Source organism: Homo sapiens, chromosome 1, assembly GCF_000001405.40.
Source record: "Homo sapiens chromosome 1, GRCh38.p14 Primary Assembly".
Taxonomy (NCBI): Eukaryota; Metazoa; Chordata; class Mammalia; order Primates; family Hominidae; genus Homo; species Homo sapiens.
The window spans coordinates 172,180,900-172,199,296 of NC_000001.11; the positions used below are offsets into that span (position 1 = coordinate 172,180,900).

The 18,397-nt window shown below is 37.0% G+C and overlaps 1 protein-coding gene across 22 annotated transcripts in view, besides 1 other annotated feature; it reads left to right on the forward strand.

Annotated features, from left to right (window-relative positions):
* The window catches only part of DNM3 (dynamin 3), a 576,969-nt gene that overhangs the window by 339,402 nt on the left and 219,170 nt on the right, over positions 1 to 18,397 (forward strand). Inside the window, exon 16 of one of the 22 annotated variants that reach the window (XM_017000988.2) lies at positions 1,916 to 2,725. The exons of 20 other annotated variants lie outside the window; for them this stretch is intronic. In XM_017000988.2, coding sequence (XP_016856477.1) covers positions 1,916 to 2,008 — 93 coding nt within the window. In that variant the 3' untranslated portion in view covers positions 2,009 to 2,725. Of the gene's footprint in view, positions 1 to 1,915; positions 2,726 to 18,397 lie in introns of those variants that run through there. One more of the 22 variants, XM_047417395.1, reaches the window with a different exon arrangement.
* Positions 247 to 296: an enhancer, noted in NCBI's record as "active region_2088". NCBI's record gives its function as "activates an Ori minimal core promoter by ATAC-STARR-seq in GM12878 lymphoblastoid cells {active_cell/tissue: GM12878}" and the evidence as "EXISTENCE:reporter gene assay evidence [ECO:0000049][PMID:35858748]".

Sequence of the window (18,397 nt, forward strand, 5' to 3'; positions counted from 1 at the left end):
TGGATATAAGGCAAAATAACATTAAACAAGAATAAATATCTGTTTACCAACATTTAAATGATAGTTCTTTTGTTGTCAACTGGCAAGTACGGAGCACTTACCAAGTGCCGCCACTCCGCTGGGCTCTGGGGAACACAGCTCTTCCTTAGCTGAGCTCATAATCTGGACTGTGAGGCCTACACATCAGGGCAGAAAGCTTCTAGTTTCACTTTTCATATAGTAATTTTGAAAGCATAAGAGGCTTTGCAAAACATCTTTTAAAATAAAGATGCTTCTCCACCATCTCTAAGATAAGTTGGTTCTTTTTGGCAAAGGTGATTTTAATTGTTAGTACATTTCCAAGACAAGAAATGCAATCTGTTGACACGCCCTTCAAAATAATCAGATGAAAACAAGGAACACAAATATGTCCAGCCCTGAACTCTTCATTTTTCCTCTTGATGAATCCTTTCTTATGCTTTAAAACACTTGAGTTTACACACACACACACACACACACACACACACACACACACATATTTCTGGTAGGCGTGGAGATATATATCTATATATATCTTGCTATTAGGGCAATTCCCTGAAAGATTACACTACCTTCTTTATGCATAACGTCAATGCCTGATATTAAACAGAAACGAACTATGTGACTATGCTTTCCTTTTTAAATATGTGAACGTATTTCTCTACAGAGTTGTTTTGTAGCCGTATTGCTACTAAACTGGTGCCCAGCTCCAGGCCTGCAGACTGCTGACACACAATTAATCTCACAAATTTATGAATGCCAAAGCATGGAGCAAAATGAAAACAACTGGGGGAATGTTTAAGGGAAATAATTGGACTGTATCCAGATGTGCATGTGTAAAACATCACCACTTAACTCCTCCCCCATATCCTGTCTGAAGACAGGGTTTTTTTTTTTTTTTTTGAAAATAAACTGGGGTTATTTGAAAGAAGTTGTGGTCTCTGACTAAAACTGAATAAGCAAGGCCAGGCTGGCCATAATTCTGTGTGTTCTTGTATTTTTGTTTCTTAATTAACTCATTAGGTGCTGATGAATCAATCTGCCTCATGTCTGTTTTTGGTGGGTGTTGCCACAACTTTATGAACTCTATTTAAAGATAATATGTAAGGGGTTTCAAGACTGATAGTCGATTTCTTTGAGTTTTTGGTTATAACGAACTGGAACTTTTTACTATTAGAAATAGGCAACATTATTGTAGTGTGAAGGTCATCAAGCTGGGACGTGAAGTCTGGTCAAGAGGAAAAAAATGTGACAACATTTTATAGTTTTTTTTTTTTTAACAGTCTGTCCAAGATCAGTTAGGGGAAACAAACAAACAAAAAAACGATTTCTCTAAGATGCTTAACTCACTAGATAAAGCATAAAAATGGAGATAATAATGTTGAGTTTGTGTGCATGAAATTAATTTAGGATCTGGCATCACTGGGATATGAGAAGCTAGAGGACAGGGTGCTCTGAAGAAATATTTTGCAGGTTGATGTCTAACCATCATTACATACCTTAAATGGTACTAGAGATGAAGTAATAAAACACACTTTTTCCCTCAAATGCAAATATTTCCTCAAAAACAAGATAACCAAGTCCAGCAATAAATCCAACTCATTTCAATAAAATGTTCTCCACAGACTTGCTTTTCTCCTACTCTGTTTAAGGACAAAAATAAAGATGAAATGAATTGCAATGAACCTGCTCAGAGGTACTCACTAAAGTGGAGCATAGAGAGGCCTTCTGCTCTGCATGCCCCTCCCTCTATCTGCATTGTCCTCAGAGACTGCCTGAAAATTCAAATTCTGGGCCTCATTAGGCACAGAGTCCTAAGATTGTGTTTCTGTTTTTATTCAAAGAGAGAAAACAAAAGTAGAAAAAGTTGAATACCCAATCTTTTATACCATTGCAGGAAGGCTTAAGGACCCCAATCGTCAGTTTTCCTGCAATTGGTGACTTCAATATGAGAATAGTATCAGCACTTTATTTTGAGAGTAAGTATTGATAATGTAGTATCATTCCAATTGTGCAGGTAATTATTTAAAGTCCAATTTTAATAATCATGACAACTGAGTATAGTTTCTATCAAAAAAAATTTCTTAGTTCCTTTACCAAGAACTGGTAAAAAGGCAACTTTTTAACTAAAGGGAGCTAGGTACAGAAAGGCACTGTCCTGTCCCAGACGCCAAAAGTTTAGTGGGAAGTGATGGCCATAGAGAGGGAAAGGGGATGAGAAGATCACTGGTTTCAGTATTAATACAGATATGCACATACAGCACCATCTCTAGATCATGCCTGTTATTCTCCATATCGTCTCCACATACTACCCAATAGAGATATATTTTATTTAGCCAGTTTTGGTTTCAAACACAAATAATTTCTGGGAAAGTTCAATATATTGGTTTCACACACTTTATGGATATAATATCATGATGTTGAAAATATTCTATATTATACAAAGTTTTTTTAACACAAATTAAATTTTGATGTCATAAGTGAAGACTTGGCAAATAAATACTAAGAATTATCTGTGTACCAGTATAAGGAAAATACAGTGATTCTGGGTTTCAAAACCCAAATACACTGAAACATTGTGGAGTTTTTAAAGTAAGGAATGTGCTTGGTCTGGCAGATGATAAAACATGTTAGTTGCTTAAAATTATTGCCAATTATTTTGGTAAATACATTCAAACTTTTTTAAATTTTTTTATTTTTTGTGATAGGGTCTCACCCTGTCACCCAGGCTGGAGTGCAGTGATGCAATCATGGCTTACTGCAGCCTCCACCTCCTGGGCCCAAGCAATGCTCCCACCTCAGCCTCCTGAGTAGCTAGGACTACAGGGTTGCACCACCATGCCCAGCTAATTTTTTTTTTTTTTTTTTTTTTTTTTTTTTGTAGAAACAGGGTTTCACCAGGCTGATTTTGAACTCCTGGGCTCAAGTGTTCCTTCTGCCTTAGCCTCCCAAAGTGCTGGGATTACAGGCATGAGCCAATACACCTGGCTTCAAAGTTTTTTTTTTTTTCTAGAGAATCAGCAGTGTAATAGAAATTAATATTCTAGTACTCAAAACAACAGCAATCATAACAATAATAGCAAAATCTATGTTCTTGGCTCAGTTACACTCAAGTAATAGCTTGACCTTGGATTAGTTGCTTTATCTCAATTTTATTTCTGCAAAGTAGCGTGAGGATCCCTATCCTGCTCACCTCACAAGTTGTGAAGTTCATTAGGTTTATTGTTGCAATGTTTTCTAAATCTTCTCATTAAATGATGTTAAAACCTACTAAGAACTCAAACAATCCCAGACACACTGATGGAGAATTTAGATATGTAGTCTGAATATAGCATCAGACAACCTGAACTGTTAAACAAGCAAAGAAAATTATCACAAAATAAACATGGAAAATATCATTACATTGACCACCATTTAAATTGCACAGTTCTTGTAAGACATACCCACTACATAAAATAAAACCCATCTGCAGAGACACAGCAGTTTTTCTGCAGTTGGGAGTTGGTGATTGAAAAGTAGGAATTTGAAATTAATTTTTTTTAGAAATTGAGAAATTTTATCCTCCCTTCTAAACAATGACCCTCAACACAGTAATGAGCAGCACAATCTGGAGGGTATGGTAATATCCCAGAATATGTCCCCAGGCTAGGTGCTCAGGGCCTAACTTGCCTTTTTAAGAAATTCATTGTTTCTGTTGAATGTTGCTCTCTTCATATTGTCTACTTTAAAAGACAAATACTTCTGGGATGTGTAAGCCCAGGAATGGGAAAGGAGGAAAAATCATCTTAGAGTTTATTAAGTACGGAATCTGACCCATGGACTTGATATGTGCATTCTCATTGCAGACTTGGGTTTGGGGTTTTACAAATGTAGAATCCAAATATTAGAGAAGTTCATCGCTTTCCTGTCACCCTCTTAAGGGAATGAACTGTGTAGCTGAGATTTGATCCCCTAGTTGGTCTGCCAGCAAGCCCATGTTCTTTCTTTTGCACACCCTATACCATATAATAAATTAATTCATGAGATGCTGTCTTTGTAACAGCTGAGAATTGGAACACTAAGAGAGCATCGAACATCTGGAATAGAAGTAAAGTGATTTGGAAAAAAAAAGGGAGGCTGGAAACTTAGTCAACACATAGGGGCAGCTCCTCTCACTCAGTGTTCATGCTGGGTCCTGAAGATAAGTAGGTTTTGCTCTTTGCCTCAGTGGTCTTTGACGGACTCTGGGTACTAAAGCTAAGATGGAATTGAGGGAAGCTCCTAATGCCTCCTTTATTTGCATCGGCAGTGAGATTGAAAGAGGCCCCTTCAGTGTGTGAATACCTGAAATTAAAGACTAGAAATATGCATTTAGACTGTTTACTTTAGGTTTCCTGTTTACATTTGTTCCAATTTTATTCTCTCACTGGGGAGTAGAATTGGAATGCAGAGAAAAAGGGGTGAGCACAAGACAAAGGGAAGTGAAACTCAATTTTGAAAGCAGAACCATTTTTACATTTAAGTTGAACTGTGGTTTTAAAACATTTAGCTCTCTATTGGAAACCATTGTGGGTGGGGTGCATTTGTAACAGAGCTTCACCTAATTCATTCTATATGCTTGGCAGAGGAAAGGCTGAAATCAGAGCCAAATTCCAAAGAGCCTCTGAGGGAAGCAAGGTCACACTCTATTCAGAATTATATAGCAACCTGGCCTAAACAGAAGATTTTTAATGTGTTTGTGCACTTAGGAATCATTTTTCTAGACTTTGGTAATTGTTTATCCATTTTGTGAAGTTCTATTGTAAATGTATTGCAAACACTGCTTCATAGCTAGATAAGAACAACTGCTGAATAATCTAAGTCAACTAAGTTTATTTCATAGCTGGTTTTGAAACTGGGAATAAAATAATATAGAAGGGTTTATTGATTAGTTCCACTGTCATAATAAGCCTGGAGAAATGTCTTAGGAGCCACATTTTGACTTTTTTGTCTGACGAATTTGGCCCATCCTCAAATAAAAATTGTTTTTTAATTCCAAGCAGTCATATTATGAACAGTTGTTATATTTTACATTGTTTTATAATTGGTCTCCTGCATGATAAAACTCATTTGCAAGGCAGAAAGGCAAAAATGTGAGAAGCAAGAAACCAATTTATTGTTAATCAATAATTACAATAAAAATGGGAATAAGGAGAAATGTGATTTTAACTCACTTCCTGGGAAGACATTCCAGAGTTTGGGGGATGACAGAACATCTTTTGGGTGCTTAGGGACCAAAAGGGAGTGAGGACTTCAGACTTTGAAGTTATTTTTGCTTACGACCAACCAACTTTACCTCAAAGTGCAGAGTGCTTAAAAGTTAATTTAAACGTCGGTTACAAATTCCAAGAAATGTGGAGATATAACCCAGAAAGGCAACATGACCTAGAGAGCTGAACAAGGGTTTGGGAATGTGGACTTGGTTGTTAACCCTGTGTCAGTTGCTGTTTTTTTTTTTAACTTTGTAATGATGAAATGCAGTTTCCATTCTCCTGACCACCTTAAGGTAGTACCAATCGTGGGTAAAATAATATAGAAGAGATATAATATAAAAGGGGAAATAATTTAGAAGGACAATGCTGTCCCCCCCTTTTGAAGATGACATGGATTTAGAGCAAAGTTTTGGTTATTTTTGAGAGGTCCAGAATCCAGGCATCTGCCTCTTTTGATACAAAGGCTGCTACTTCTTGCTTCTTCAAGGGACTTCTCACCCTCTATTGATGGTCAGCCCCCTCTCACTGAAGGAATCAGAATCAATTGGTGATAGAAAGTTTTGAGAGCATCATTTGCCAGCCTGGAAGTATTTTTCATCTCTACCAGTTGTTCTTTAACTTTTTGAAGTTCTGTAAACATTTAAGAACATCGTAGGAGTTATAGATGTTTTCCTTAGGCTATTGCACACATTCACAGATTGATTTCTGAAGACTCCCCCATCTTGAAGATTGTTCATGGATCATGGGTTGTGAACCCTAGCTATGGAGGGTTTGTGTCTCTAAGCTCTGAAAACCTCACCATCCAGGTTGTCCTCTCTGAGAAGCTACTCTCCATGGCCGAGTCACCTTAATGTTGAAAGGAAATATCTTTGCACATGATTTGTTCTCTTCTTATTCTGCCTGCCTCTTAAGTGTCAGAAGACCTCCCTGGAGGGAACCTCACAACTTTATGTCATTACTTTTTCCAAGGCTCACTTGTAGGTTTGGGAAGGTTTTCTTTTCTCCCTCTTTTCTTTGCATGAGAGTCTGTCCCATCTGCCTTTTCCCACCAGCAGTCCAGAGTGATCACTCTCAGATTTTTCACACCACTTACGCTTTGTATCAGCAATATGATATTCATTTTTCTCTCTTTTGGTTTATTTGTAAATTAATTTTTACTATAAAATATTTTAATACATATATAAATGGAGAATAGAAATAACACCCATTTTAATACAATCTTAGCATTATAATATACTTGCATCAGATTCTTTAGAATGGTAATTACAGTTACACAGTGAAGATCTTCACTGCCTCTGCCCTGAGCCCTTCTTTTCTTCCCTCCCTGGTAGTAAGTGCTGTTCTTTCCAAACGTGGTTCATCCTTTACTTTTAAAAATTATTCTTCTGGGTATAGACCTGATCTATTCAATGAGACTATATTTTCTTGAGAATGGATAGTAGCCTTATTTTTGTTTTTGTTTGTCTTCAGTGCTCAGGGGTCCTTAATATGTGACAGCAGATGCATGGAGGTGGGGTTGCGTGGCACTTGTGCCTCCTCATTTTAAGGTTCTTCTCCATCTTGTCCCTCAAAGATGGTTTGCATTGTTACAAATGTTAAGAAAATCACTTTTTCTCCTTTCCTATTTTTCTTCTTTCTACAGAAGAAAATTCAGATCATATGAGATTTCATGTTTCTCTGAATATCCTGTTGCTCTTCACTTCTCCTGTTTCCTTATATCAGGAATGATTCTTTGTCCTGGTTTCTCAGTTCCTTTATTTGCAGCTTTAGAGAAATAATCTTGCTTTAGGTCACCTTTAACTTTATTCAAATAGTATAAAGTAAGCAATGAAAAGGTAAAGACAATTAATATAAACCCCAAACCCACTATATATGTCTACTAAGAACAAAACTCAATAAAAAATATGCCTTGAATTCCAAAAGTATGTGTGTGTATGTATGTAATATGTGATTAAACTGACAAATTTATTTGCTTTCCAGAAATTTTGTTTCTTTATTTTGTGTATTTATACACTTTGAAAATCCATCAATTTGTCTTGGCAATTCTGATATTACTCCTATTTCACAAGTAATGAAACTGAGGCCAGGATGGCTAAATGACATCTCAGGTAGCAGAACTATTAGGAGTTAGACTAACGTCTCCAGATTTCTTTTCCTTAGGCTCAGGTGGTTTTCCTGCTTCAGCCTCCTGAGTAGCTGGGAATCCAGGTTTGCACCACCTTGCCTGGATTTTCAACAAATGGGACTGGCTCTCTAACCAGGAATTGAACCTGGGCTGTCATGACGAAAGCACCAACTCCTAACCACTAGACCACAGGGTGGAGATTTCTTCTTTTTTAAAAATCTGCCCCTCTTGTCACTGTTTCTTTTTATTGCTAAATAATATTCCATTGTCTGGTTGTACCACAGTTTGTTTACCCATTCACCCATAGAGGGACATCTTGGCTGTTTGCAGTTTTTTGGCAATTATGAAAAAAGCTACTCTAAACATTTATATGCATGTGTTTGTGTGAACATGTTTTAAATTCATTTGGGTGAATACCTAGGATTATATATAATTGCTGCATCATATGGTAAGACTACGTTTAGTTTTGTAAGAAACTACCAAATTATCTTTACAGGTGGCTGCATCATTTTGCATTCCTTCCAGAAACGAATATGAGTTCCTGTTCCTTTGCATGTTTATCTCTATTTGGCATTGTCAAGTTTTTTAATTTAAGGAGGCCCAACTTATTTTTTTCTTCATGGATTGTGATTTTGATGTTATACCTTAAAACTCTTCACCAAACCCAAGTTCCCCTAGATTTTCTCCTATGTTATTTTGTAAGAGTTTCATAATTTTGTGTTTTGTGTCTAAGTCTGTGATGCATTTTGAATTAATTTTTGTAAAAAGTGTGAGGTCACTGTGTACATGCAGTTCTTTTTCGAGTAGACTTATAGTTCTTTCAGCATCTTTTGTTGAAAAGACTATCCTTTCTCTATTGAATTGCCTTTTTCCCTTTGTCCAAGATCAGTTAACTAGATTTGTGTGGTCTGTTTCTGGGCTCTTATGTTGTTCCGTTGATCTGTTTGCCTAGTTTTTCACCAATACCATACTCTCTTTATTACTATAGCTTTATGGTAAATCTTGAATTTGAGTAGTGTCAGTCTCTGATTCTTCTTCTTGAGTATTATGTTGGCTATTCTGAGTCTTTTATTTTTCTATGTAAGTTTTACAAGCAGTTTGTTAATATCTACAAGATAACTTGCTATTATTTTAATTGGGATTGCATTTAATCTATAGATCAAGTTGAGGAAAATAGACATGTTAATGTAATTGAGTCTCCCTATTCATGAACATGGAATTTCCCACCATTTATTGAGGTCTTCTTTGATTTATTTCACTAGAGTTTCATTTTCCTCATATAGATCTTTTTCATATGTTAGTAGAAGCATATCTAAGTATTTATGTATTTATTTTTGGGGTGCTAACGTAGATGACTATATTAGCCCATTTTTGTGTCACTATAAAGAAATACCTGAGGCTGGGTAACTTACTAAGAAAAGAGATTTAATCAATTCACAGTTCTGCAGGCTGTACAAGTGTGGCTCCAGCATCTGCTTCTGGTGAGGGTCTCAGGAAGCTTACCACCATGGCAGAAGGTGAAAGGGGAGCAGGTGCTGTGACATGTTGAGAGAGGGAGCAAGAAAGAGAGAAGGGGGAGGTCCAAGACTCCTTTAAACAACCAGAACTCACATGGACTAACTGAGCAAGAACTTATTTATCACCAAAAGGATAGTGCTAACCCATTCATGAGGGTTCCATCACCATAATCAAATGACCTCCCATTAGGCCCCACCTCCAACATTGGGAATCACATTTCTTTTTTTTTTTTTTTTTCACTTTAAGTTCTAGGGTACATGTGCACAACGTGCAGTTTGTTACATATGTATACATGTCCCATGTTGGTGTGCTGTACCCATTGACTCATCATTTAAATTAGGTATATCTCCTAATGCTATCCCTCCCTTTTCCCTGCACCCCCACCGGCAGGCCCCAGTGTGTGATGTTCCCCACCCTGTGTCCATGTGTTCTCATTGTTCAATTCCCACCTATGATTGAGAACATGCGGTGTTTGGTTTTCTGTCCTTGCGATAGTTTGCTCAGAATGATGGTATCCAGCTCCATCCATGTCCCTATAAAGGACATGAACTCATCCTTTTTTATGGCTGCATAGTATTCCATGGTGTATATGTGACACATTTTCTTAATCCAGTCTATCATTGATGGACATTTGGGTTGGTTCCAAGTCTTTGCTATTGTGAATAGTGCCACAATAAACATACGTCTGCATGTGTCTTTATAGCAGCATGATTTATAATCTTTTGGGTATATGCCCAGTAATAGGATGGCTGGGTCAAATGGTGGTATTTCTAGTTCTAGATCCTTGAGGAATTGCCACACTGCCTTCCACAATGGTTAAACTAGTGTACAGTCCCACCAACAGTATAAAAGTGTTCCTATTTCTCCACATGCTCTCCAGCACCTGTTGTTTCCTGACTTTTTAATGATTGCCATTCTAACTGGTGTGAGATGGTATCTCATTGTGGTTTTGATTTGCATTTCTCTGATGGCCAGTGATGATGAGCATTTTTTCATGTGTCTGTTGGTGGCACAAATGTCTTCTTTTGAGAAGTGTCTGTTCATATCCTTTGCCCACTTTTTGATGGGATTGTTTGATTTTTTCTCGTAAATTTGTTTAAGTTCTTTGTAGATTCTGGATATTAGCCTTTTGTCAGACAGGTAGATTGTAAAAATTTTCTCCCATTCTGTAGGTTGCCTGTTCACTCTGATGGTAGTTTCTTTTGCTGTGCAGAAGCTCTTTAGTTTAATTAGATCCCATTTGTCAATTTTGGCTTTTGTTGCCATTGCTTTTGTTGTTTTAGTCATGAAGTCCTTGCCCATGCCTATGTCCTGAATGGTATTGCCTAGGTTTTTTTCTGGGGTTTTTATGGTTTTAGTTCTAACATTTAAGTCTTTTAACCATCTTGAATTGATTTTTGTATAAGGTGTAAGGAAGTGATCCAGTTTCAGCTTTCTACCTATGGCTAGCCAGTTTTCACAGCACCATTTATTAAATAGGGAATCTTTCCCCATTTCTTGTTTTTGTGAGGTTTGTCAAAGATCAGATGATTGTAGATATGTGGTATTATTTCTGAGGGCTCTATTCTGTTCCATTGGTCTATATCTCTGTTTTGGTACCAGTACCATCCTGTTTTGGTTACTGTAGCCTTGTAGTATAGTTTGAAGTCAGGTAGCATGATGCCTCCAGCTTTGTTCTTTTGGCTTAGGATTGTCTTGGCAATGCGGGCTTTTTTTTGGTTCCATATGAACTTGAAAGTAGTTTTTTCCAATTCTGTGAAGAAAGTCATTGGTAGCTTGATAGGGATGGCATTGAATCTATAAATTACCTTGGGCAGTATGGCCATTTTCACAATATTGGTTCTTGCTATCCATGAGCATGGAGTGTTCTTCCATTTGTTTGTGTCCTCTTTTATTTCGTTGAGCAGTGGTTTGTAGTTCTCCTTGAAGAGGTCCTTCACATCCCTTGTAAGTTGGATTCCTAGGTATTTTATTCTCTTTGAAGCAATTGTGAATGGGAGTTCACTCATGATTTGGCTTTCTGTTTGTCTGTTATTGGTGTATAGGAATGCTTGTGGTTTTTGCACGTTGATTTTGTATCCTGAGACTTTGCTGAAGTTGCTTATCAGCTTAAGGAGATTTGGGGCTGAGATGACGGGTTTTTCTAAATATACCATCATGTCATCTGCACTTTTCCTAAGTGAATACTCCTTATTTCTTTCTCCTGCCTGATTGCTCTGGCCAGAACTTCCAACACTATCTTGAATACGAGTGGTGAGAGAGGGCATCCCTGTCTTGTGCCAGTTTTCAAAAGGAATGCTTCCAGTTTTTGCCCACTCAGTATGATATTGGCTGTGGGTTTGTCATAAATAGCTCTTATTATTTTGAGATACACTCCATCAATACCTAGTTAATTGAGAGTTTTTAGCGTGAAGGGCTGTTGAATTTCGTCAAAGGCCTTTTCTGCATCTCTTGAGATAATCATGTGGTTTTTGTCTTTGGTTCTGTTTATATGATGGATTACATTTATTGATTTGCATATGTTGAACCAGCCTTGCATCCCAGGGATGAAGCCAGCTTGATCATGGTGGATAAGCTTTTTTTTTTTTTCTTTTATTATTATACTTTAAGTTTTAGGGTACATGTGCACATTGTGCAGGTTAGTTACATATGTATACATGTGCCATGCTGGTGCGCTGCACCCACTAACTTGTCATCTAGCATTAGGTATATCTCCCAATGCTATCCCTCCCCCCTCCCCCCACCCCACAACAGTCCCCAGAGTGTGATGTTCCCCTTCCTGTGTCCATGTGTTCTCATTGTTCAATTCCCACCTATGAGTGAGAATGTGCAGTGTTTGGTTTTTTGTTCTCGCGATAGTTTACTGAGAACAATGATTTCCAATTTCATCCATGTTCCTACAAAGGACATGAACTCATCATTTTTTATGGCTGCATAGTATTCCATGGTGTGTATGTGCCACATTTTCTTAATCCAGTCTATCATTGTTGGACATTTGGGTTGGTTCCAAGTCTTTGCTATTGTGAATAATGTCGCAATAAACATATGTGTGCATGTGTCTTTATAGCAGCATGATTTATAGTCCTTTGGGTATATACCCAGTAATGGGATGGCTGGGTCAAATGGTATTTCTAGTTCTAGATCCCTGAGGAATCGCCACACTGACTTCCACAATGGTTGAACTAGTTTACAGTCCCACCAACAGTGTAAAAGTGTTCCAATTTCTCTACATCCTCTCCAGCACCTGTTGTTTCCTGACTTTTTAATGATTGCCATTCTAACTGGTGTGAGATGGTATCTCATTGTGGTTTTGATTTGCATTTCTCTGATGGCCAGTGATGATGAGCATTTTTTCGTGTGTTTTTTGGCTGCATAAATGTCTTCTTTTGAGAACTGTCTGTTCATGTCCTTGGCCCCATCAAAAAGTGGGGGTGGATAAGCTTTTTGATTTGCTGCTGGATTTGGTTTGCCAGTATTTCATTGATGATTTTTGCATCGATGTTCATCAGGGATATTGGTCTAAAATTATCTTATTTTGTTGTGTCCCTGCCAGGCTTTGGTATTAGGATGATGTTGGCCTCATAAAATGCATTAGGGAGGATTCCCTCTTTTTCTATTGATTGGAATAGTTTCAGAAGGAATGGAACCAGCTCCTCTTTCTACCTCTGGTAGAATTTGGCTGTGAATCCATCTGGTCCTGGACTTTTTATGGTTGGTAGGCTATTAATTATTGCCTCAATTTCAGAACTTGTTATTGGTCTATTCAGGGATTCAGCTTCCTCCTGGTTTAGTCTTGGGAGGGTGTATGTGTCGAGGAATTTATCCATTTCCTCTAGATTTTCTAGTTTATTTGCGTAGAGGTGTTTATGGTATTATCTGATGGTAGTTTGTATTTCTATGGGATTGCTGGTGATATCCCCTTTATCATTTTTTGTTGCATCTATTTGATTCTTCTCTCTTTTCTTCTTTATTAGTCTTGCTAGCGGTCTATCAATTTTGTTAATCTTTTCAAAAAACCAGCTCCTGGATTCATTGATTTTTTGAAGAATTTTTTGTGTCTCTGTTTCCTTCAGTTCTGCTCTGATCTTAGTTATTTCTTGCCTTTTGCTAGCTTTTGAATGTGTTTGCTCTTGCTTCTCTAGTTCTTTTAATTGTGATGTTAGGGTGTCAATTTTGGATCTCTCCTGCTTTCTCTTGTGGGCATTTAGTGCTATAAATTTCCCTCTACACACTGCTTTAAATGTGTCCCAGAGATTCTGGTATGTTGTGTCTTTGTTCTCATTGGTTTCAAAGAACATCTTTAATTCTGCCTTCATTTCATTATGTACCTGGTAGTCATTCAGGAGCAGGTTGTTCAGTTTCCATGTAGTTGAGCGGTTTTGAGTGAGTTTCTTAATCCTGAGTTCTAGTTTGACTGCACTGTGGTCTGAGAGACAGTTTGTTATAAAGTCTGTTGTTTTACATTTGCTGAGGAGTGCTTTACTTCCAACTATGTGGTCAATTTTGGAATAAGTGTGATGTGGTGCTGAGAAGAATGTATATTCTGTTGATTTGGGGTGGAGAGTCCTGTAGATGTCTATTAGGTCTGCTTGGTGCAGAGCGGAGTTCAATTCCTGGATGTCTTTGTTAACTTTTTGTCTCATTGATCTGTCTAATGTTGACAGTGGGGTGTTAAAGTCTCCCATTATTATATGTGGGAGTCTAAGTCTCTTTTTAGGTCTCTAAGGACTTGCTTTATGAATCTGGGTGCTCCTGTATTGGGTGCATATATATTTAGGATAGTTAGCTCTTCTTGTTGAATTGATCCCTGTACCATTAGGTAATGACCTTCTTTGTCTCTTTCGATCTTTGTTGGTTTAAAGTCTGCTTTATCAGAGACTAGGATTGCAACCCCTACTTTTTTTTTATTTTCCATTTGCTTGGTAGATCTTCCTCCATCCCTTTATTTTGATCCTACGTGTGTCTCTGCATGTAAGATGAGTCTCCTGAATACAGCACACTGATGGGTCTTGACTCTTTATCCAATTTGCCAGTCTTTGTCTTTTAATTGGAGTCTTTAGCCCATTTACATTTAAGGTTAATATTGATATGTGTGAATTTGATCCTGTCATTATGATGTTATCTGGTTATTTTGCTCATTAGTTGATGCAGTTTCTTCCTAGTATTGATGGTCTCTACCATTTGGCATGTTTTTCTAGTGGCTGGTACCAGTTGTTCCTTTCCATGTTTAGTGCTTCCTTCAGGAGGTCTGGTAAGGCAGGCCTGTTGGTGACAAAATCTCTGAGCATTTGTTTGTCTGTAAAGGATTTTATTTCTCCATCACTTATGAAGCTTAGTTTGGCTGGATAGGGAATCACATTTCAAAATGAGATTTGGAGAGAAGAAACATCCAAACCATATCAATGATGTTGTATTTTTAATTTCAAATCAAATTATTCATTGCTGGTATATAGGAAGGCGATTGACTTTTGTATATTAATCTTGAATCTTATAACCTTGCTTTAATTACTTGTTAGTTCTCAAAGACTTTGGGACAATTGTTCAGAATTTCTACATACACAATTATGGCACCTTCAAACAAAGACAGTTTTATTTTTCCTTTCTGATCTGTATTTCTCTTATTTCCTTTTCTTGACTTATGGCATCAGCTAGAATTTCCAATATGATATTGAATGGGAGTTGTGAGAGGGGACATCCTTGCCCTCTTCCTCATCTCATGGTACAGCATCTAGTGTCTCACCATTAAGTATGATGTTAGCTCTATAGTTTTTTTGTAGATGTTCATTATCAAGTTGAAGAAGTTCCCTTCTATTCTTAGTTTGCTGTGAGTTTTTATCATGATGGTTGTTGTCAAATGCTTTTCTTCTGCATCTATCGATATGATAGTATGTTGTTTTATTCTTTAATATGCTGATGTGAAGGATTCAATTAATTGATTTTCAAATGTTGAACCCTCCTAGCATACCTGGAATAAATCTCACTTGGTTATGATGTGTAATTCTTTTTATGTATTTTTGGGCTTGATTTGGTAATATTTTGTTGAGGATTTCTGCATCTATGTTACTAAGTGGATTTTTTTTTTAGTTTTCCTTTTTTGTAGTAACTATCTGTTTTCATTTAAACTTCTATTTTAGGTTTGGGGGAACATATGAAGGTTTGTTACGTAGGTAAACTCATGTCACAGGGGTTTGTTTACATATTATTTCATCACCCAGCTATTAAGCCCAGTACCCAATAGTTATCTTTTTTGCTCATCTCCCTCTTCCCACCCTCCACCCTCAAGTAGACCCAGTGTCTCTTGTTTCAGTCTTTGTGTTCATAAATTATTATATTTAGCTCCCACCGATAAGTGAGAACATATGGTATTTGGTTTTCTGTTCTTGCATTAGTTTGCTAAGGATGATAGCCTCCAGCTCCATCCATGTTCCCTCAAAAGACAATCTCATTCTTTTTTATGGCTGCATAGTATTCCGTGGTGTATATGTACCATATTTCGTTTAACCAATCATTTGTCATTGACAGGCCTATAGATTTATTCCGTGTCTTTGCTATTGTGTATAGTGCTGCAGTGAACATTTGAGTGCATGTGTCTTTATGGTAGAATGATTTATATTCCTCTGGTTTTATACCCAGTAATGGGATTGCTAGGTCAAATGGTAGTTCTGCTTTTAGCTCTTTGAGGAATCACCATACTGCTTTCCACAATGATTGAACTAATTTACATTCCCACCAACAGTGTATAAGCATTCCCTTTTCTCCACAACCTTGCCAGCATCTATTATTTTTGACTTTTTAATAATAGCCATGCTGACTGGCATGAGATGTTATCTCATTGTGATTTTGATTTGCATTTCTCTAGTCATCAGTGATATTCACCTTTTTTTATATGTTTATTGACCAGATGTATGTCTTCTGTTGAGAAGTCTCTGTTTATGTCCTTTGTCCACTTTTAAATGGGGGTTGTTTGTTTTTCTTTTGTAAATTTGTTTAAATTCCTTATAGATGTTGGATATTAGACCTTTGTCAGATGCATAGTTTGCAAATATTTTCTCCCATTCTGTAGGTTGTCCATTTGTTCTGTTGATATTTTCTTTTGCTATGCAGAAGCTCTTAAGTTTAATTAGATCCCACTTGTCAATTTTTGCTTTTGATGTGATTGCTTTTGGTGTCTTAGTTGTAAAATCTTTGCCTTTTCCTATGTCCAGGATAGCATTGCCTAGGTTGTATTCTAGAGTTTTTATTGTTTTGGGTTTTACATTTAAATCTTTAATCCACCTTGAGTTGATTTTTGTATATGGTGTAAGGAAGGGGTCCAGCTTCAGTCTTCTGCATATGGCTAGCCAGTTATCCCAGCACCATTTATTGAATAGGGAGTCTTTTCCCCATTGCTTCTTTTTTTCAGCTTTGTCGAAGATCAGATTGTTATAGATGTGTAGCCTTATTTCCTGGCTTTCTATTCTGTTCCATTGGTCTATGTGCCTGTTTTTGTATCAGTACCATGCTGTTTTGGTTACTGTAGCCTTGTAATATAGTTTGAAGTTGAGTAACATGATGCCTCCAGCTTTGTTCTTTTTGCTTAGGATTGCCTTGGCTACTCAGGGTCTTTTTTGGTTCCACATGAATTTTAAAATAGTTTTTTCTAGTTCTGTGAAGAATGTCATTGGTAGTTTGATAGGAATAGCATTGAATCTGTAAATTGCTTTGGGCAGTATAACCATTTTAATGATATCAATTCTTCCTATCCATGAGCATGGGATGTTTTTTCCATTTGTTTGTGTCTTCTCTGATTTCTTTGAGCAGTGTTTTGTAAACCTCATTATAGATATCTTTCACCTCCCTGATTATCTGTATTCCTAGGTATTTTATTCTTTTTGTGGCACTTATGAATGGGATTGCCTTTCTGATTTGACTCTTGTTTTGGCTGTTGTTGATGTATAGAAATGCTAGTGATTTTTGTACATTGATTTTGTATCCTGCAAATTTGCTGAAGTTGTTTCTCAGCTGGAAGTGCTTTTGGGCTGAGACTCTGTGGTTTTCTAGATATAGAATAATGTTGTCTGCCAATAGAGACAGTTTGATTTCCCCTCGTTGTATTTGGATGCGCTTTTTTCTTTCTCCTGCCTGATTGCTCTGGCTAGGACTTCCAATACTATGTTGAGTGAAGTGGTAAGAGAGGGCATCCTTGTCCTGTGCCAGTTTTCAAGGGGAATGCTTCCAACTTTTTCCCATTCAGTAAAATGTTAGCTGTGGGTTTGTCACAAATGGCTTTTATTGTTTTGAGGTATGTCCTTCAATGCCTAGTTTATTGAGAGTTTTTAACATGAAGGGGTGTTGAATTTTATGTAAAGCCCTTTCTTCATCTGTTGAGGTAATCATGTGGTTTTTGTCTAGTTTTGTTTATGTGGTGAATCACATTTAGCAAATAAAAACAAGTCTGCTTATATTGAACCTACCTTGCATCCCGAGGATGAAGCCTACTTGATCATGCTAGATTAGCTTTTTGATGTGCTGCTGGATTCTGTTTGCAAGTATTTTGTTTGAATTATTGCACAGATGTTCATCAAGGATATTGACCTGAAGTTTTCTTTTTTTGTTGTGTCTCTGACAGGTTTTGGTATCAAGATGATGCTGGCCTCATAGATTAAGTTGGGGAGGAGCCTCTCTCAATTTTTTGGAATGGTATCTGTAGGAATGGTACCAGTTTTTCTTTGTACATCTCATAGAATTTGACTGTGAATCCATCAGGTCCTGGGCTTTTTTTTTGGTTGGTAGGCTATTTATTACTGATTCAATTTTGGAGCTTGCTGTTGGTCTGTTCGGAGAATCGATTTCTTCCTGACTGAGTATTAGAGGATGTATGTGTCCAGGAATTTATCTATTTCCTCTAGGTTTCCTAGTTTTTGTGCATAGAGGTGTTAGTAGTCGTTTCTGATGGTTGTTTTTATTTCTGTGGGTTAAGTAGTAACATTCCCTTTAGCATTTCTAATTGTGTTTATTTGGATCTTCTCTCTTTTCTTTCTATTAGTCTAGTTAGAGGCCTGTCTTATTAATTTTTTCAAAAAATCAACTCCTGGATTCATTGTTCTTTTGAATGGTCTTTTGTGTCTCAATTTCCTTCAGTTAAGCTTTAATTTTTGATATTTCTCATCTTCTGCTAGCTTTGGGATTGATTTGTTCTTGCTTCTCTAATTATTTCAGTTGTAAATTCAGGTTGTTAATTTGAGATCATTCCAACTTTTTGATGTAGGCATTAAGTGCTATGAATTTCCCTCTTAACGCAGGCTTGGCTGTGTCCCAGAGATTCTGGTGTGTTGTATCTGTGTTCTCATTATTTTCAAAGAACTTCTTGATTTCTGCCTTAGTTTTATTATTTACCCAAAAGTCATTCAGGAGTATGTTGTTTAATTTCCATGTAATTGCATGGTTTTTGAGTGATTTTTCATAGTCAACTTCTATTTTTATTGTAGTGTGGTTCAAGGTTGTGTTTAGTATTATTTCAGTTCTT